Source organism: Homo sapiens, chromosome 1 (assembly GCF_000001405.40).
Source record: "Homo sapiens chromosome 1, GRCh38.p14 Primary Assembly".
Taxonomy (NCBI): Eukaryota; Metazoa; Chordata; class Mammalia; order Primates; family Hominidae; genus Homo; species Homo sapiens.
The window spans coordinates 243,277,429-243,298,211 of NC_000001.11; the positions used below are offsets into that span (position 1 = coordinate 243,277,429).

At 38.1% G+C, this 20,783-nt stretch overlaps 1 protein-coding gene across 6 annotated transcripts in view, besides 1 other annotated feature; it reads left to right on the plus strand.

Moving 5' to 3' along the window:
- SDCCAG8 (SHH signaling and ciliogenesis regulator SDCCAG8) overlaps positions 1–20,783 on the plus strand; it is a 244,051-nt gene that overhangs the window by 21,388 nt on the left and 201,880 nt on the right. For 4 of the 6 annotated variants that reach the window (NM_001350249.2, NM_001350246.2, NM_001350247.2 and 1 more), the window contains exons 5-6: positions 8,844–8,969; positions 15,663–15,791. In NM_001350249.2, the coding sequence (NP_001337178.1) occupies positions 8,844–8,969; positions 15,663–15,791 (255 nt within the window). Of the gene's footprint in view, positions 1–8,843; positions 8,970–15,662; positions 15,792–15,970; positions 16,067–20,783 lie in introns of all 6 variants that reach the window. The other 2 variants (NM_001350251.2, NM_001350248.2) reach the window with 1 other exon arrangement.
- Positions 7,393–8,129: an enhancer, noted in NCBI's record as "H3K27ac-H3K4me1 hESC enhancer chr1:243448123-243448859 (GRCh37/hg19 assembly coordinates)". NCBI's record gives its function as "activates a minimal SCP1, AML or CMV promoter by ChIP-STARR-seq in naive H9 embryonic stem cells {active_cell/tissue: H9 hESC(naive)}" and the evidence as "EXISTENCE:reporter gene assay evidence [ECO:0000049][PMID:30033119]".

A 20,783-nucleotide genomic window follows, 5' to 3' on the forward strand; every position in this document is an offset into this window, starting at 1 on the left:
ACCTATGTAACATCTTTGAGTGAGGTGTCTGTTCAGGTCGTTCACCCATTTTTAAAATCAGGTTATTCGTTTTCTTAGTGTTGAGTTTCAACAATTCTTTCTGTATTTTGGATGCCAGTCCTTTATCAGATATGTCTTTTTCAAGTATTTTCTCCCAGTCTTTGACTTGGCATTTACTTCTCTTAACAGTATCTTTCAATGAGCAGAAATTTTTAATTTTAATGAAGTTTAACTTACCAATTTTTTTCTTTCATAGATTGTACTTTTAACTTTGTGTTTAAAAATTTATTACCAAATCCAGGTTCACTATATTTTCTCCTTTCTTCTTCTAGTATTTTATAATTGTTTATTTTACATTTAGATCATGTTTGAAGGATAGTTGTCCATATTTTTGGGTCTATTTCTGGGCTTTCCTGTTCCATTGATTAACTTGTCAATTCTTTGGCCACTATCACTCTATCTTGATTACTGTAGCTTTACATTAAGTCTTGAAGTTGGGTAATATCAGTACTCTAATTTTGTTCTTTTTCAATATTGTGATGAGTATTCTGGGACTTTTGCATCTCCCTGTAAACTTTAGAATCAGTTTGTCGATATCCACAAAATAGGATTTGGATTGGAATTGTGTTGGATCTATTGATCAAGTTGGGAATAACTGGCATTTTGATACTATTGAGTATCCCTATCCATGAACATGGAATATCTCTATTTACTTAGATCTTCTTTGATTTCTTTAATCAGTGTTGTGGTTTTCCTCAAATAGATCTTCTACAAATTTTGTGAGATTTATACCTATTTCATTTTATTTTTGAGGTGGAGTCTCGCTCTGTCACCCAGGCTGGAGTGCAATGTTGCAGTCTTAGCTCACTACATCCTCCGCCTCCCGGGTTCAAACAATTCTTCTGCCTCAGCCTCCCGAATAGCTGGGACTACAGGTGTGTGCCACCACACCTGGCTAATTTTTGTATTTTTAATAGAGATGGGGTTTCACTATGTTGGCCAGGCTGCTCTCGAACTCCTGAACTCGTGATCCACCCGCCTCGGTCTCCCAAAGTGCTGGGATTACAGGCATGAGCCACTGTGCCCAGCCACCTATTTTATTTTTTAGTGTAATGGTATTATGTATTTAATTTCAAATTCCAATTATTTATTGCTAATATAGAAGAAAACAATTGACTTTGTATATTGACCTTGTATTCTGCAACCTTGGTATAAGTCACTTATTAGTTCCAGCATTTTTTGTTGATTCTTTGGGATTTTCCTCATTGACAAGCATATTGTCTGCAAACGAAAGACAGTGTTATTTTCTCCTTTCCAATATATTTAGATTTTGTGTTTTTTAAATTTTTCATTTATTTTAATTAATTTTCTTGAGGAAGGGTCTTGCTGGAGTGCACAGGCTGGAGTGCAGTGGCATAATCATGGCTCACTGTAGCCTTGACATCCTGGGCGCAAGTGATCCTCCTACCACAGCCTCCCTAGTAGCTGGGACCACAGGTGCACACCACCATGCTTGGCTATTTTATTATTATTATTATTATTTGTAGAATTGAGGTCTCATCATGTTGCCCAGGCTGGTCTTGAACTCCTGGGCTCAAACAGTCCTCCTGCCTGGGCTTCCCAAGGTGTTGAGATTACAGGCTTTAGCAAATGTGCCCAGCCAGATTTTATTTTTTTAATTGTCTTATTGCATTAGCTAAGACTTTTTGGAATGATGTTGAATGGTTGTGAGAGGGGCCATCTTTGCCTTGTTCCTGATCTTAGTGGGAAACTACTTTCCTACCATAAAGTATATTAGCTATAGGTTATTTGTAGATGTTCTTTATCAAGTTGAGAATGTTTCCTCTATTCCTAGTTACTGAGAGTACAGATGCCTCTCGACTTAAAATGGGATTGCGTCCTGATAAACTCGTTGTAAGTTGAAAATGCATTGAATATACTATAGATTATTGGTTGTTTACCTCTGTGATTGCATGGCTAACTGGGAGCTACAGCTCACTGCCACTGCTGCTGCCCAGCATCATGAGAGAATATTATACTACATATTGCTAGCTTGAGAAAATAACAAAATTTGAAACTTGAATTATGGTTTCTACTGAATGCATATTGCTTTTGCAGCATAATAACGTCAAAAAAATCATAAGTCAAACCATCACAAGTCAGGGACCATCTGTGTTTATCATAGATGGCTGCCGCATTTTGTCAAAAGCTTTTCCTGCCTCTACTGTTAAAATTATGATTTTTCTTCTCAACATTGTTGATATGATGGATTACATTAACTGATCCTCAAATGTCGAACCAATGTTGTGTAATTAGAATAAATCTTACTTTATCCTGGTGTATAATTCTTTTTTACATTGTTGGATTTGATTTGCTAGTATTTTATTGAGGATTTTTTCATCTATGTTCATTAGACATATTGATCTGTAATTTTCCACTCTTGTAATGTTTTCACTTGGTTCGGGTATTAGGTTAATGCTGGCCTCATAAAATGAGTTAGGAAATACTTCCTCTTGAATTTTATGAAATATATTATAGATAATTGGTATAATTTCTTTCTTAAATATTTGATAGAATTCACTAGTGAACTTACCTGGGCCTGGTGCTTTCTGTTTTGAAAGGTTGCTAATTATTGATTTAATTTTCTTGATAAATATAGGTTTATTCAGATTATCTATTCCTCCCTCTGTGAGTTTTCATGGATTGTGTCTTACAAAGAATTGGTGCATTTCATCTAGGTGACTAAATTCATGATCATGGAGTTGTTCATAGTATTTCTTTGTTATCCTGTTTTTTAAACATTTCTTTATTATCCTTTTAATGTTCATGGGATCAGTAGTGATAGCCCCATTTTCACTTCTGATCTTAGTATATGATAGAATCTAATTGATATTTTCTCTTTTTTTCTTAACCTGTATATAGTCTTATCAATTTTATTCATCTTTTCAAAGACCCAACTTTTGGTTTTGTTGTTTTTCTCTGTTGATTTTCTATTTTTAATTTCATTGATTTTTACTCTAATTTTTATTATATGTTCTTTTCTGCTTACTCTGGAATTAATTTGCTATTGGTTTTGCAACTTCTAAAGTAGAAGCTTAGATTATTTATTTGAAATCTTTCTTCTTTTCTAATTTTTTTACACTCCTTTTGCTGCATCCTTTTAATAAGTATATAGCTTTTTATCAGTTGTATTTTAATTTTTACTTAGTTGAAAATATTTCTAAATGGCTCTTGATACTTCTTTGATTCATGTGTGTCATTTAGAAGAGTGTTGTGTCATCATCAAGTATTTGGGGAGTTTCCCAGCTATCGTTCTGTTATTGATTTCTGGTTTAATTCCATTGTTGTCTGACAGCATACTTTCCTATTCTTTTAAATTTGTTAAGGTTTGTACATTGTAGTCTGTCTTGGTGAATGTTCTGTGTGAGCCTGAAGAAAACGTGTGTACTGCTGTTCTTGGATGAAGTAGTCTATAAATGTCAGTTAGATCCAGTTGATTGATGCTGTTGTTCATTTCAATTGTGCCCTTTGTGATTTTTATAATTTTTGACAGGGGATGTTGAAATTTCCAACTGTAATAGTGGATTCATGTGTTTTCCTTTGCCTCATACATTTTGATACACTTTTATTAGGCACATATACATTAAGACTTGTAACGTCTTCTTGGTGAATGGACCTCTTTATCATCATGTAATGTACCTCTTTATCTCTGATCATTTTCATTGGTCTGAAGTCTGCTTTGTCTAAAATTCATATTGCTACTCCAACTTTCTATTGATTAGTGTTAACATGATACATCTTTCTTCATTTATTTTAAATCTATCTGTGTCTTCGTATTTATAATTGGCTTTTTTTTTTGTTTTGAGATTTCTTTTTTTTTTTTTTTGGTTAGAGATGGGGTCTCACTATATTGCTCAGGCTGGTCTTGAACTCCTGGGCTCAAGGGATCCTCCCATCTCAGCCTCCCAAGTAACTGGGATTACAGATATGAGCCACCTTGCCCAGTTATTATAGGCTTCTTGTAGACAACATATAGTTTATTGTTCTTTTTTTTAACCATTCTGACAGTCTCTATCTTTTAGTTGGTATATTCAGACCATTATATTTAAAGAGATTATTGTTATGATTGGATCAATGTATAACACATTTGTTACTATTATCTTCATTGTCTTTATTTTTTGTTTCTTTAAAAAAAATTCACTCTTTTTCTGCCTTCTCTGGCTTTTTTTTTTTTTTTTTTAGAGATAGAGTCTTGCCCTGTTACCTAGGCAGTGACGTAATCAAAGCTCACTACAGCCTAGAACTCCTGGGCTCAAGCAGTCCTCCTACCGCCTCCCTGCTGAGTAGCTAGGACTACAGACATGCACCACTATGCCTGGCTAATTTTTATGTTTTTTTACAGAGATGGGGTCTCACTATGTTGCCCAGGCTGGTGGCGAACTCCTGGCCCCAAGTGATCCTCCCACCTCAGCCTTCCAAAGTGCTGGGCTTACGAGGTGTGAGCCACTGCACCTGTCCCTTTTGTGGCTTTGATTGAGCATTTTATATGATTGCATTTTATTTTTTATTTTTGGAGACAGAGTCTCTCTCAGTCGCCCAGGCTGTAGTGCAGTGACTCCATCTTGGCCCACTGCAACCTCTGCCTCCTGGGTTCAATCAATTCTCATGCCTCAGCCTTCCTAGTAGCTAGGACTACAGGTGAGCCACCACAACCAGCTAATTTTTGTATGATTGCATTTTTTTCCAATTCACATATCAATTGATCAATTGTACTTCTTTTTTTTTTTCTTTGCTGGTAGCCGTTGATTGATGCTGTTGTTATTTGCAGTAAATATTTATAACTAACTTAAGTTTACTTTCAAGTAAACCTATGCCACTTCTTGAATAGTATAAATTGCTTATAACAGAATTCCCAAGCCCTCTCTCATCCTTTATAACATTTCTGCCATTAACTTCAGTTATTCATAAACTAAAATTACTACAAACACTATTGCAATTATGATGTTGAACACAAAGTGTCATCTGTCAAATTAATAAGAAAATATTTTATCTTATATCCACTTATTCCTTCTTTAATACTCTTTTTTTCTTTATGTAGATGGCAGTTTCTGACTTTATCACCTTTTCTCCTTTCTGAAGAACTTTTTTAAACATTTCTTGCAAGGCATATATGCTAGCAATAAATTCCATCAATTCTTGTTTGTCTAAGAAAATATTTTTCTTTCTCTTTTGAAGGTTAATCTTGCTGAATCCAGAATTCTAGGTTGGTGGGTTTTTTCTTTTAACACTTTAAAAATTAGATTCATTTTATTCTCTTCCTGTTTGCACGGCTTCTGCAAAGTACTCCCAGGTAATTCTTATCCTTGCTTCTTTGTAGGTAAGGTTTTTGTTTTTTTGTTTGTTTGATTTTTGTTTTTTAATTATTATTATTTATTTGAGACTGAGTCTCGCTCTATAGCACAGGCTGGAGTGCAGTGGCGAGGTCTTGGCTCACTGCAACCTCTGCCTCCTGGGTTCAAGCAATTCTCATGCCTCAGCCTCCCGAGTAGCTGGGATTACAGGTGCCTGCCACCACACCTGGCTAATTTTTGTATTTTTAGTAGAGACAGGGTTTCACCATGTTAGCCAGGCTGGTTTTGAACTCCTGACCCTCACATGATCCGCCTGCCTCGGCCTTCCAAAGTGCTGGGATTACAGGCATGAGCCACCGCACCCGGCCTGATTTTTGGGTTTTCTTTGTTTGTTTGTTTACTTTGGCTTATTTTAAGATTTTTCTCTTTGTCTTTGATTTTCTGCAGTATCAATATGATATTCCTCAGTGTATTTTTGGGGGGTATTTATCCTGCTTGGTGTTCGGTGAGCTTCCTAGATCTGTGGTTTGGTGCCTGTCATTAATTCAGGAAATTTTTCAGTCATTATTGACTGAAATGTTTCTTCTTTTCCTTTCTTTCCTTTTTTGTGTCCCTGTTTATTTATATATATATATATACATGTATATATATATATTTATTACACAATTTGTAATTGTACTGCAGTTCTTGTATAATTTTTCTGTCTTCAGTTTTTTTCCTTATTGCACTTCTTTTTTGGAAATTCTTATTGACAATTCTTAAAGTTTACTAATGCATTCCTCAGCTATATCCAGTCTACTGATGAGCCTTTCAAAGGCACTCTTCATGTCTGTTAATAGTTTTTTATTTTGAGCATTTTCTTTTCATAGAGTTTTCATCTCTCTGCTTATATTACCCCGCTGTTCTTGCATATAGTCTATTTTTTCTATTAGAGACCTTAACATAGTAATCATAATTATTTTATTTATTTATTTATTTTGAGACGGAGTCTCACTCTGTTGCCCAGGCTCAAGTGCAGTGGCGTGATCTTGGCTCACTGCAACCTCTGCCTCCTGGGTTCAAGTGATTCTCCTGCCTCAGCCTCCCGAGTGGCTGGGATAACAGGCATGCACCACCACCCCCGGCTAGTTTTTTTTGCATTTTTAGTAGAGATGGGGTTTCACTATGTTGGTCAGGCTGGTCTCGAACTCCTGACCTCAGGTGATCCTCCCACCTTGGCCTCCCAAAGTGCTGGGATTACAGGTGTGAGCCACCGTGCCTGGCCTTAATCATAATTATTTTAAATTCCTGGTCTGATAATTTTAACATCTTTGCCTTATCTCAGACTGTTTCTGATGCTTGTTAAATCTTTTCAAACTGTGTTTCAGTCTTTTAGCATGTCTTGTAATTGTTTGATGAATGCTGGACATGACATATTTGGTAAAAGGAACTGAGGTAAGTAGGCCTTTAGCATGAGCTTTTATGTTTATCTGGCTGGAAGCTAGGCTGTGTTTGCTGTCACCGTACATGTCAGAGGCTAAAATTTCCTTCAGTGTCCTGGTCTTGTCTCTTCTGTTGTCTATGGATTACCCTAGTGAGTTCTTCCTAAATATAGTCTGAGATATGCAGTTCTTTCTGTTGAATTTCTCTGTCAGTATACGGGAGCCATAGTGATGTGGTCGTTAGATGTGGGAGTAGAGGGAAGCGTTCAATAGTCCTATGACTAGATCTAAGTCTTTTAGTAAAGCCTTTGCCTTGGGCTGTGACGTTCACAAGTGCTTCTCAGTCTCCCCTGCCCTTTAAGTTAGACGAGATAGCTAGAGGAAGCCGGAGGCCCCCTCTCCCACACGGAATGCAAGAGGGGGCTGGAGCTGGATTTCTCTTTTTTTAGGCCGGTTAGGTGGCAGCAGCCCTCCAGTCAGTTAGGCTCTGGTAAAGTCGTTTCCCTTGAGGCAGGCCTGTTACAAGGAATGCAACATGCCAAGCATATTTCAAACTGGCTGCTTTTCTTCTTCCTTTAGGTTGCATAAGGGGATTTTTTTCTAGTTTTTACTGTGAAAACCTGGTAGTGTCCTGGAGATAAAATTGGGGAAGTGGGGCAGTCCTTCTATGACTGGGTCTTCCTGGAATTTTTTTTTTTTTGAGACGGAGTCTCGCTCTGTCACCCAGGCTGGAGTGCAGTGGCGTGATCTTGGCTCACTGAAACCTTGGCCTCCCAGGTTCAAGCCATTCTCCTACCTCAGCCTCCTGAGTAGCTGGGACTACAGGCGTGTGCCATCACACCTGGCTAATTTTTGTATTTTTAGTAGAGATGGGGTTTCACCGTATTGGCCAGGCTGGTCTTGAACCCCTGACCTCATGATCTGCCCACCTCAGCCTCAAAATGCTGGGATTACAGGCGTGAGCCACCGCGCCCGGTCTGGAATTTTTAACTCTCAAACTTGCTGACACTGAGCTTCCAGCAAGTCATCAATTATGATTTAGATTTTCTACCTCCTACAGAGGTTTCTGATTTCCTCCTGTAAATTCTGTGTCTCAGCGTCCACCCATCTCTTCAGTTTTGGGGCAGCAGTTTTCCCTATGACTTCATTTCTCTGATGGATCTAAGAAGAGTTGTTGATTTTCAGTTTGTTCAACATTTTTCCTGTTGGGAAGATGGGAGTGAGGTGTTCCAAGCTCATTACATTCCAGACTGAAAATTCAAAGTCCACAATATTTTTTAAATTACAGCTTTTTATTATAGCTTTGGGTTTTTAAAAAATAATAATTGAGAGGAATTTTCACATGTTGTACAATAGCTTTTGATTGCACTAGTAGTGAATATTAGGTTAAGTATTATATGATTGATATGTTGATATTATTGAAACGTTTTTCCAGAGACTGAGGTGCCACTCAATAGCTATTCTAATGATTGTTGACCTGTAATTTCTTATGTTACATCCTGTAATTTTAATTGTTATTGATTTGTAATTCTTTATATTACACCCTGTGAGGCCAAGGAAATACTCTTTCACAATTCTCCATGAAATGTTTTACTACAATTCTCTCTTATTTGGCTACCATTTCATAGATAATCATCACTCCCGTCTATGCCTTTCTATCTCAGAGCCTCCCTCTATTTAATCTTCCATCAGTTTTTAACAAGTTGATGGTATTTGATCATGAGTAATAATATATCTTATTTTTCAGAATCTACTCCATTCTTTAAAATCTCTTGGATAACCCTTTTAATTAAGGCTTTTCTTTGAGCCTCGATTCCTTGGAGAAAAGGAAATTGTCAGAAACGACACACTTCTGTGATATGCCACCAGCAGGCCCATTACTATATACCCCAGCCTTCTCTTTGTTATCTAGCTAATGTTAGGCTGCCTTGTTTGTCTAAACATATAATTATATTTCAGGAAAAGGAGAACATAAGTCTTCCGTACTTTATATCATGCTGTGCCCTCTAATAATCAACAAATAAAAACACTGCTTAATAATGCTTAATGTGTTTGGTTTTGTTTATTATAGGAGGAACTCTCTGGAATGAAAAATAAAATACAAGTAGTTGTGCTTGAAAACGAAGGGCTCCAGCAACAGCTAAAATCTCAAAGACAAGAGGAGACACTGAGGGAACAAACACTTCTGGATGCATCCGTGAGCATTATTTTAAATCATAAATTTTATTTTAGTGTGAATATTCCCTTCTGCCCTCTCTCCTCGCCTTCTTCGCTGCTTAGATTTTCTCCCTGAAGTGTGGCCAAAGTACTATGTTGGTATTTGTTTGAGACCTCAAATATCAAACTTCACTGTGGTGGAATGAATCCTCAGATGAAACGATCTTGTGATATTTTGCTACAGTTTCCTCTCTGAGCATACCGTTTCTGCCTTACCATATGGAAAGAGCCGGTCTGAAAGCAGGAAGTGTGTTATACAGGAAGGACTTTGCTAAGTCTAGAAACCGTTCAGAACTTTAACTTAGATTTCTGTTGGATTTCTCTAAATTTTCCTTGAGGTCTGAAATCTAATAAGTCTAATTAGCTGCATGATGTAGCAGAAAAAATGTTGGCCTTAGGATCCAAGAATCAAAATGTTAGTCTTCCCATTTCCCTAAGAAGGCTGGTGTTTAGCAAGTAATTTTAGAAGGTTTTACATAGCTTAATCACGTATGTCCTTTATTTCTTTATTGGTAATTTGAGAAGATTAACCTATACCAGGAGTTTTCAGTGCAAATTCCTGGACTCCATCCCCTGTGAGTCTGATTCACTTGGTCTGGTTGGCTTCTAGGAATCTAAACTTTCATCAAGTTGCCTAAGTGATTCTAATGTCAGTGGCCCAGAGTTTGAAGAACGTTGGGTCAGATTATCTCTATAATTCTGTGACAGAGAATTATTGTGGTGACATTTAAATAGTGCTTAAATCTTATGACTTATCAGAGTACTTTTGTCTTAAACTTTTTGTAACTGTTTTGCTATAAGATATAGTCACAGCTTGTTCTGCTTTTTGGGACAAATTCAACTTTCCATGTGGAAGTTTTCATACTTGCCTATTCCAGCTTCACTTTGCAGTTTACTTTGGTGGTTTTGACTTTGTCGTCATTAGTAAATCAGCTGTTAAGAAAACATGAAAGTCTTGATGTTTCATTGGGATATCCTCTAATTTTCGTTTTTGAAGTTTTTTTTTTTTTTAACTTGAATTGATAGTTGGTTTATAATCCTGGAGTTGTATATGTTAGGGTTTGCTATTGAGAAGTATAGGAGTGTATTAACTCTGATAAATGAAGTGGGCTAATTAGTATTTCAGTTTAATTTTCTGCAATTGCATTTAAGTTTGTGATCAGTTCTTTTCTCCTCACTGTATAACTTTTTCCTGAAGATTTGTATAATTATTAGTGGTAAAAACTCCATCTTAGTTGCTTATGATTTTAATGTCAATTTGAGGAAGATATCACCATATAGAAAATACTTAGAAGTAGCTTATTTTAAAAATATTCATTTGCTTTTCTTCCAAACACGTGGTCACTTAGCAAGCAGTGATTCAATTATTCATAGTCCTCAGTATTTATGTAATGCCAAAGAAGTGGAAGAAGGGGAAGTGAAGTGAGAAAGGAAATTAGGCAGACAAGTGAATCAGAGGGCAAGAGAAATGAGTAATGCAAAAGGGGAAGGAAATGATGGTCAGAGCACACATGCCTTGCAGCATGAGCAAAGAAAATGTGCTAAACAAAACTACAGTCAGAATCATAGAAAGGATAAGGTTTTAGAGAGGTTTTGTTGTTTTTTAAACATTCATGTGAGCTAAATATAATGCAGGTATTGAAATGATTACTGCAGATATGCCAGATGACCTTGATATCTATTTTAATGTTAATCTTCTGTTATTTGTTGTTGTTGAATTGTTACCCCCACGTTTTACCTGTGTAAGTGAATTGAAATATTTCAAGGCCAGATACAGTGTCTTACGCATGTAATTTCAGCAGTTTGGAAGGATGATCACACGAACGGATGGATCACTTGAGCCCAAGAGTTCCAGACAAGCCTGGGCAACATAGTGAGACCCCATCTCTCTAAAAATAAAAAAAAAATTAGCCGAGCATGCTGATGTACACCTGTGGTCCCAACTACTTTGGAGACTGAGGTCAGAGGATCCCAGGAGGTCAAGGCTGCAGTAAGCCCTGATCACGCCACTGCACTCCAGCCTGGGCAACAGAGTGAGACCTTGCCTCAATAAAAACAAGACAAACAAAAAACCAGACATTTCAATAATACATGCATGGTGCTGTGTTACAAGTTGTAACATGAATAAAAATGTTTAGGATATCTTAAATATAAAAAATCAAGAAATATCTTCTTTTGGGGGGAAGGGGTTTTTGTAATGAGTCAATTAAAATGTTGGTGCTAAATCTTCCCTTGCTATATTGAAGTTTGCTGATTTCAATATAGATTTTCAGTGTTTCATAATGCCTTTTAAGAAAGATAATTGAGGTGGCCAGGCGCAGTGGCTCACGCCTGTAATCCCAACACTTTGGGAGACCAAGGTGGGTGGATCACGAGGTCAGGAAATAGAGACCATCCTGGCTAACATGGTGAAACCCAACTCTACTAAAAATACAAAAAATTAGCCGGGCGTGGTGGTGGGCACCTGTAGTCCCAGCTACTTGGGAGGCTGAGGCAGGAGAATGGTGTGAACCCAGGAGGCAGAGCTTGCAGTGAGCTGAGACTGCGCCACTGCACTCTGGCCTGGGCGACAGAGCAAGACTCCATCTCAAAAAAAAAAAAAAAAGATAATTGAAACATTTATATGGTGTATTAGGTTCTCTCAAAGGACAGAACTAATATGATATAATATATATATATGAAGGGGGTTTATTAAGTAGTATTAACTTATTAACTGACACAATCACAAGGTCCCACAACAGGCCATCTGCAAGCTGAGGAGCAAGGAAGCCAGTCTGAGTCCCAAAGCTGAAGAACCCGCTGTCTGAGGTACAAGAACAGGAAGCATCTAGCACAGGAGAAAGATGTAGGCTGGGAGGCTAAGCCAGTCTAACCTTTTCATGTTTTTCTGCCTGCTTTATATTCGCTGGCAGCTGATTAGATGGTGCCCACCCAGATTAAGGGTGGGTCTGCCTTCCCCAGCCCACTGACTCAAATGTTAATCTCTTTTAGCAACATCCTCACAGACACACCCAGGATCAATCCTTTGCATCCTTCAATCCAGTTAAGTTGACACTCAGTATTAACCATCTCATATAGTAATAACTAACATTTATTGATGACTACATGGTTATAATGTGCGAGGCACTGTGTCAAACTATTTACGTTATATTACTTCAGATTTGCAGTACCCACACAAGGCAGGTGTTATTATCTCTGTTTTCAGAGGAGTAAATTAAGGTACACAGCTGTTAAGTAACCTAAGTAATTGGCCTAATGTCACAGAGCTAGATAATGGCAAAGCAAGGATTCAAACCCAGGACTATCTAATTCTCTAAATACACCCCGTAGAACCTTAAATTATACCGCCTTTCTGCATAAGTTAGGAAGAGCTTGTCGACATTGAACCAAACCATCTTTGTTTGCAGAGGATAGAAGTTTTCCCTGGCAGAAAAGAGAAGAATCTCCTTTTTATTGTCTCCTGCTTGTAGCCCTGGACTTTGATGGTAGCCTGTAAGACTTTCAACTTTTGGTCTAGTTTATGACCTAGAAGTTAAAGAAGCAAGCCATTCAAAGTATATTTCATTCCTGTCCTGATTTTTCATCACTTTGCCTTCTCATAAAATATTTCCTCATGGAAAGCTTTTCTCTAGAGTTCACAAAATCAAAATAATACGAAAACATGTTATTTATTCAACATTTTGTCATGTGTCCTTCTTTAAAGATCCAGGAGTTTTTTCTTAAGGAGAAAATTTCTCGGCCAATATTTTTCACGTTTGTTTTCATCCCCTGTCTTACCACCGCTCCCGCCCCCCGATCCCCTGCCACCCAATTAAGAAATCAAAGGTTTTGAATGATCTTCAAGGATTTAACATACTTAGGTTTTTAAAAACATCTTGGTTAAGTAGCATTCAAGTTTTTTAAAACTATCTGTGAAAGAACAAAATGTCCGTTAGACTAGCAATTCTTTCCAAAGAATGATAATATTTTATATCATAAGTTAGTGATCTGTGGTCTACATGCTCCCTCCAATTTCTCCATAGAAAATTAGTACCACCCTCCTTCATTGATCTCAAAAACAACTTTAAATGCAATCATATCTTAGGGGATTTGACTCTACCGAGAGAATCAAGTGCAGACTCATTCCATGGTGTGGTATACTCTCAAGTCCCTTACTTGATTCTTTAGCTTCATCTTCTGACATTCATCACCTTATGTTTTGACGTCTAGTAATGCTGAATTTTCTGAGACCCCCCTGCAGGCACCATGCTATTCCATACCTCTGTGATGTTTATCATGAGGTTCTCTCTTCTTCGAATGCCCTTTCCATCTAGCTTACCCTTACTTATCCTTCAAGATACCACACCAGTGTCAATTTTTTTCTGGAAAACCTTCCTTGGATTTCTGGGTGCCCTTAGTATCCCTCCTGTGTTTTGGCAGAGGCCCCTGTGCACACCTTTGGCCTAGCACTCACATTATTAAATTGAAATTACCTGCCTAGGTGTGTGTCTCCCTTATTAGACTGTAAACTCCTTGGAGCTAAGATTGATCTTGCTCATTTTTGTCCTCCAAGCTCTTAGCACAGTGTCTGAACACCATAGGTGTTACACAAATGTTTGCACTAAACTGAACTTCCAGAAGAATATAAAATAGACTGTCAGAGTACTACTTTAGGTGAATGTAGTTTACCACGTTCGAGCATGATGCGACACTGCAGTATGGGTCAGTGTCTGGGGACCTGTCCTGTCTTGTGACTACTACCATATCCTTTGGCCCTTAGCAAGTGCTCAATAATTATTTGTTGAATTAAATTAATATACGTATTTTAATCCTTCTTGTACACATAAATTCCCCAGATCATTGGGCTGCTTACTACATTGAATGTTGAGAGGGTGACAGAGGTTGCAACTAACAATGGGTACACTAAATTCAACTCAGGCATGTTTGGTTTGTTTGATAAATTTTGAGCCAGTGTTTAATAGTGTTTCACATGAAGGACCAGATATCTGGTAATATGAATTTTCACTGCCACATGGCAGTGATTGACTGGAATTGAGTAGTGGCTGCTTCCTTTGGATGGTACACATTTCTGTGGTTTGTCACAGAGCCTACTCTTCTTCCTTTTTGAATCCCTGGCATGCAGGCTGCATGTCAACTCTGTTTATCACCATACATGCACTGTTTCTTTTTACTGAAGATAAATATTTTTCTGGAAAGGCAGAAGATCGTAATAATAAAGGACTTTAAAGGAAAAAACTGTTCCTTTTTCTCATAATGCTTCTGACACCAAATGTTTGGGTTTGTTTTCTCCTACACCTGGCCATTCTCTGTTTCTCTGTAGATACCAACTAGGTGTCCAGTGATTCAATTCAATTCTGACACTCACTACACAGTATCAGACCCACAGGTTAAGGGCTCAGTACCACATGACTGCCTGCTACTTTAGATACCAACTGCAAATAGTAGGTCTCTTGGTTATCCACAATTCTGTCTGATTTGTCTGTAAATTGGGGATTCCTACAATCCCTTCCTAATGTGTGATAATTTGCTATAATGGCTCACAAAATTCAGGGAAACACTTTGCTTGCTATTACTGGTTTATTATTATATAAAGGATATAAATGAACAGCCAACTGAAAAGGCACGTAGGGCAGGGTCCAGGCTGGTCCCAAGTAGAAGAGCTTCTGTCTGTGGAGTTTGGGTACACCACCCTCTTGGCATGTGGATGCATTCGCCAACCCAGAAATTCTCTGAACTTCATCATATAGGATTTTTATGGAGGTTTTATTACATAGGCATGATTGGTTAAATCAATGGCTGTTGGCGATTAAGTCAATCTCCAGTCCTTTCCCCCCTTGAGGTGGGGGAGTGGGGCTGTAAGTTCTAGTCTTCTAATCATGGACTGCAGCCACCAGTCATCTTATTAGCATACGAAAGGATACTCTTATCACCATGGAGATCCTAAGGGTCTTAGAAGCACTTGTGTCAGAAACCCGGGACTAAGACCAAATATTTTAACGAAAGATGCTCCTATCACCCATGTCACTCAGGAAATTACAGGGTTTTAGGAATTCTGTGTCAGGAACCAGGGACAGAGACCACATATATATTTGGATTCAGATTGACAGGTTTCAGATTCTAGTGCTGCCACTTATTAGCCACTTCCTACCTCTGTGACCCTCAGCTACTCTATGTGACTCAGTTTCCTCCTGTATAAAATGGAGGCAACAATGAAACCTATCTATCCCATAGAACTGTAATGATTAAATGAGTTAATATATATGACATACATAAAACAGGGTCTGGAACATAGAAAGCAGCATTTTGATAAAAATTATTATTAGCCATGCATTTATGAAACATGGAACATGAAAGACAAACTAAGAGAGAGGTGTGTGCTTCAAGAGTATATGTCTTCAGAGGAGTAAAGAATAATTCCATTTGTTGAATGCGCTGAAATCTAGCCCTCTTTGCCCATATTTAGATTACTGCCTGTACCTGAAGGAATTTTACTTTGCAACACTTGTAGAATATGACCCTAATAGCCTGAAAATGTGAAGTGATTCTTGACCTGTAGTGTAGAAGCATATGCTTTTTCTTTTCATCATAGGTAAGAATAGGTATTTTATTTGTAAAATATGCATGTTTATTTAAAGTTGAATTCAGTTGCAGTTACTGGCACATTTTATTTTAGGGAAACATGCACAATTCTTGGATTACAACAGGTGAAGATTCTGGGGTGGGCGAAACCTCCAAAAGACCATTTTCCCATGACAATGCAGATTTTGGCAAAGCTGCATCTGCTGGTGAGCAGCTAGAACTGGTGAGTATTTGGGTGCTTTTCTCTTATACATCTTTTTTTTCTTTTTCTCTTTTGTACTTTTTTAAAATTCTGGTAAAATATATATAACAAAATTTACCATTATAACCATTTTTAAGCGTACAGTTTATCTGCATTAAGTACATTCATGTCACTCAATCATAAACATTATCCATTTTCAGAACTTTTTGATCATCTCAAACAAAAAGTCTGGACGTATTAAACAATATCTCCATTCCCCTCCCTGCCAACCCCTGATGACCTCTCTTCAACTTTCGGTCTGTATAAATTTGCCTATTTCAGATACTTGACATAAGTGGAATTAAACAATACTTGTCCTTTTGTGTCTGGCTTATTTCCCTTAGCATAATATTTTCAAGGTTCATTTTGTTGTAGCATGTGTCAAAATTTCAAGACTGAATAATGTTCCATTGTATGTATGTTACCAAACTTTATCCATTCATCTATTGACTGATATTGGGGTTGTTTCTATCTTTTGACTGTTATGAATAATTATGCTGTGAACATTGGCATATGAGAATCTGTTTGAATCCCTGTTTCAATTATTTTAAGTATATACCCAGAAATAGACTTATTGGATCATATGGTAATTCTTCATTCTTTTTTCTTTCTGCTCCTCAGACTTGATCATTTTAATTGTCGTTTCTTAAAGTTCATCAATTCGTTTTTCTACCTGCTCAAATCTGCTCTTGAATACCTTTAATAAATTTTTTATTTCAGTTATTATACTTTTTAGCTCCAGAATTTCTGTTTGGTTCCTTTTTATAATGTGTTTTCCTGATTTTCTTTAGTTCTTTGTCCATGTTTGTCTCTTGGCTCTTTGAGTGTGTTTAACACAGTCATTTTAAAGTCTTTCCCCAGTAAGTCTGATGTCTGTGGTTTCTCGAGCGTAGTTTCTGTCAGCTTATCCTGTTCTTTTGAGTGAGCATGTTTTCCTGTTTCCTTGTATTCCTTGTTATTGTGTTGTTGAAAATTGAGCATTTCCCTATTGTAATGTGATAACTCTGGAAATCTTTAACTCCTTCTTTTCTAGAATTTGCTGTCTTATTTTACTTTTGAAGGCTGTAATACTCCTTTTGTTTTGAGACATTTCCATACTATTTTTGTGAAGACTATTCCATATCGTGTGATTATTGAAGTCTTTGTTCTATTAGCTCATGTTCAGCTAATGTTTGACAGAGATTTCCTTGAATTCCAGGAGCTGAAAACAAACACCCTCCACTCCCCCCAAAAGGTGGGGGGGGGGAGAGAGAGAGAGAGAGAAAGAGCGAGAGAGAGAGAGAGAGAGAACAACCCACCTCTCCCAGTCTTTTCAGATTGGGTCTGTGCTGGGACATTCTTTTCCCATTTAACCAGGCTTGCTCTGAGCCTAGGGATCAGCCATAGGTGAAAGCTTACAGTCTTCTCAGGATGTTTCTGAGTGTGTATCTTTCCTAGGCATACTGTGACTTTCTAAATTCCCCCCCCCCCCCACAGCTGCCTTTGAACGTCCTAATTTCCCAAAGCGTCAAAAACAATTCTATTTTAAGACTAAATAATACTTTTCAATCCTTTTATGTATGTAACAGACGTTTATTCTTCTCTTGCTAACCTGAAGTCTTCTTTGCATTAAATTTGACATGTCAGAGTTGATCAACAATGATGAAAGAGTGAGATTAACACTGTAAATGGAATGTTCCAGGGGAAGATAGAATGAATCATAGTTCAGGTTCTCATTATTATCCACAGATGATATAGTTTTCTAAAGATTCTTTCTGCCCAGTCACCCTCTCCTGTCTTAGTCCCTAATCCAAGCTTCATTCTACTTGGGAAAGAGTATCCTTCTTCAAAAAAGAAAATTGGAAAGACTAAGTAAATTGTATCTTTTTTTTCCCTCTCTGAATAATTTACAGTAGCTACTTAATACCTATAGGATAAAGACCAATGTCTCAAGTCATCCACAATTTGCGTCAAACTAATGTTCGAACTAGTTTCACACTCTTCTCCTGTCTTTTGTTTTTTGTTTCTTGTTTCTTTTTGAGACAGAGTCTTGCTCTGTCGCCCAGGCAGGAGTGCAGTGGTGCCATCTCAGCTCACCACAACCTCAGCCTCCCGGGTGCAAGCGATTCTCCTGCCTCAGCACCCCAAGTAGCTGGGACTACAGGTGTGCGCCACCATGCCCGGCTGATTTTTGTATTTTTAGTAGAGACGGGGTTTCACTATGTTGGCCAGGCTGGTCTCAAACTCCTGACCTCGTAATCCACCCGCCTCGGCCTCCCAAAGTGCTGGGATTACAGGCATGAGCCACTGTACTCGGCCTCACTCTTCTCCCGTCACTCTTACAAATCTTATCTGTAGGCATGCAGACCACTCACCAGTTGCTGCTTCATAAATTTATAATCCACTTTCATTTCTCTTTGAAGAACTGGCTTTGGTTTATGCAGTCCTCCCTCCCCAAAATGTTCCCTTCTTACCCTCTACCTATTGAAATGTTTCCAGTCTTCAGGGTATAGTTGAAATGCGCCCTCTCATTCTGCTTTCCCGAATAGCATGTTTTCTCTCTTCCCTTTTCTGCATTAGAATTCCTTTCTCTTTTATGCCTCCCCCTAGCACTGTGTTTATGACTATTGGAGACTCATCTTTTTTCCTTGTTTATGAAAAAGGTCAATTTCTGCATTTGTGTGCTCTACCTCACAAGTGTTTTTCACTTTTTCCAAGGGTTTCATTCTGGGACTTTTCTTTCTCTTGTATCTTTTCCCTATCAATGGTTTATTCTTTTTATTTTATTTATTTTTTTGAGACGGGATCTAGCTCTGTCACCCAGGGTGGAGTGCAGTGGCGCAATCTCAGCTCACTGCAACCTGTACCTCCTGGGTTCAAGCAATTCGCCTGCCTCAGCCACCCAAGTAGCTGAGACTACAGTCATGTGCTACCACACCTGGTTAATTTTTGTATTTTTGGTAGAGATGGGGTTTCGCCATGCTGCTCAAGCTAGTCTCAAACTCCTGGCCTCAAGTGATCCACCATCTTCAGCCTCCCAAACTGCTGGGATTACATGTGTGAACCACTGCACCCGGCCAATAGTTTATTCTTAGCAGAATATATTCTTTAATAGCTCCCATAAAGCAAACAAACCCAAAATATATTCTCCTGACCCTACATTCACTTCCAACTATCACCCTACATCTACATTCTCCTTTTCATACCAAACTTTTTCCAAGCAGTTGTCTATATTTATGTCTCCACTTCTTTACCTCCTATTCTTGCTTCAGTATGCTTCAGTTGAGCTTCGTCCCCCTGTAGTCCACCCCAACTGCTCTTTTTTTTTTTTTTTTTTTTTTTTTGAGACGGAGTCTCGTTCTGTCGCCCAGGCGGGAGTGCTGTGGCGCGATCTCCGCTCACTGCAAGCTCCGCCTTCCGGGTTCACGCCATTCTCCTGCCTCAGCCTCCCGAGTAGCTGGGACTACAGGCGCCCGCCACTGCGCCCGGCTAATTTTTTTTTGTATTTTTAGTAGAGACGGGGTTTCACCGTGGTCTCGATCTCCTGACCTCGTGATCCGCCCGCCTCGGCCTCCCAAAGTGCTGGGATTACAGGCGTGAGCCACCGCGCCCGGCCCCAACTGCTCTTTTTAAGGTCATTAATGACTTCCAGCCATCAGTCCTCATTGCTCTAAACCTAGTAGCAGCTTTGTATAACATGTACATTGGTTGATTATACCCTCCTCCTTTATATTTTCTAAGACACAATTTAACATAACATTCAGTAAAGTACACAAAACAAAAATTTACAGCTCAAAGATTTATCTGTAAATGAACACCTATGTGATTATCACCACTTTATGCTTCCTCCTAGTTACTGCCCCTTCATGCCATTAAAGCTAATCATGATCCTGAATTTTCTGAAAATACTCAAGTATGCATCATTAAACACTTTTGAGTTCTGTTTTTTCAATGTTATATAAGTGGAATTGTATAGTATGTATTCTTTGTATCTGGTTTCTGTTGTCCACCATTATATTTGTTAGATTCATCCATGTTGTTACATTGGCCGAAGTTTGTTCATTTTCTTTGGTGGGTCTGCTATATGAACATATGACTTTATCCATCTGCTGTCAAGGAACGTTTGTGTTGTTTCCAGTTTGCAGCTATTGTGAGCAGTGCTGCTATGAACATTCTTTCATCTGTTGGTGTGTATGACACAAATTTACGTTGCATATGTATGTTGGAGTGGAATTCTTGCTCTCAGGATATGTCTGTGTTCAACTTGAGTAGGTAATGACAACCTTCCAAGGGGTTTTATCAGTTTACACTCCTACCCATACAAGGGGTTTTATCAGTTTACACTCCTACCAGTAGTACATGAGTGATACCTTTGCTCCATATCCTTACTAATCATATAGTATTGTCAATTTTTCTGGTGAACTTATAGTGCTATCTTGTGATTTTCATTTGCATTTCCCTAACTACTAGTGTGATTGAGTATTGTTTCATACATTTATTGTCCATTTGATGCCTCTTCTGTGAGCCGCCTATTCAGATATCCTTCTTATTATTTTTATTAAGGTATGTATCTGACATATTTATTTGGGGAGTTCTTTATATATTCTGAATGCAAGCCCTTTGTCAGTATACATATTATAAATATATATTCCCACTCTGTGGCTTCGCTTGTAACTCTCTTGATAGTTTGCTTGCTTGCTTTGATGGCTAGAACTTCAGTTTGTTTTCCTTAATTATGTAGTTGTTTTTTATGTCCTTTTAAAAAAGTTTTTTTCCAACTACAATCATGAAGCTAATTCTTCTACATAGTCTTCTAGAAATTATAGTTTCACTTTTTTTTTTTTTTTTTTAAGACGGAGTCTCACTCTGTCACCCAGGCTGGAGTGCAGTGGTGCGATCTCAGCTCACTGCAACCTCCACCTCCCTGGTTCAGGCAATTCCTCAGTCTCAACCTCCCAAGTAGCTGGGATTACGGGCGCATGCCACCATGCCCAG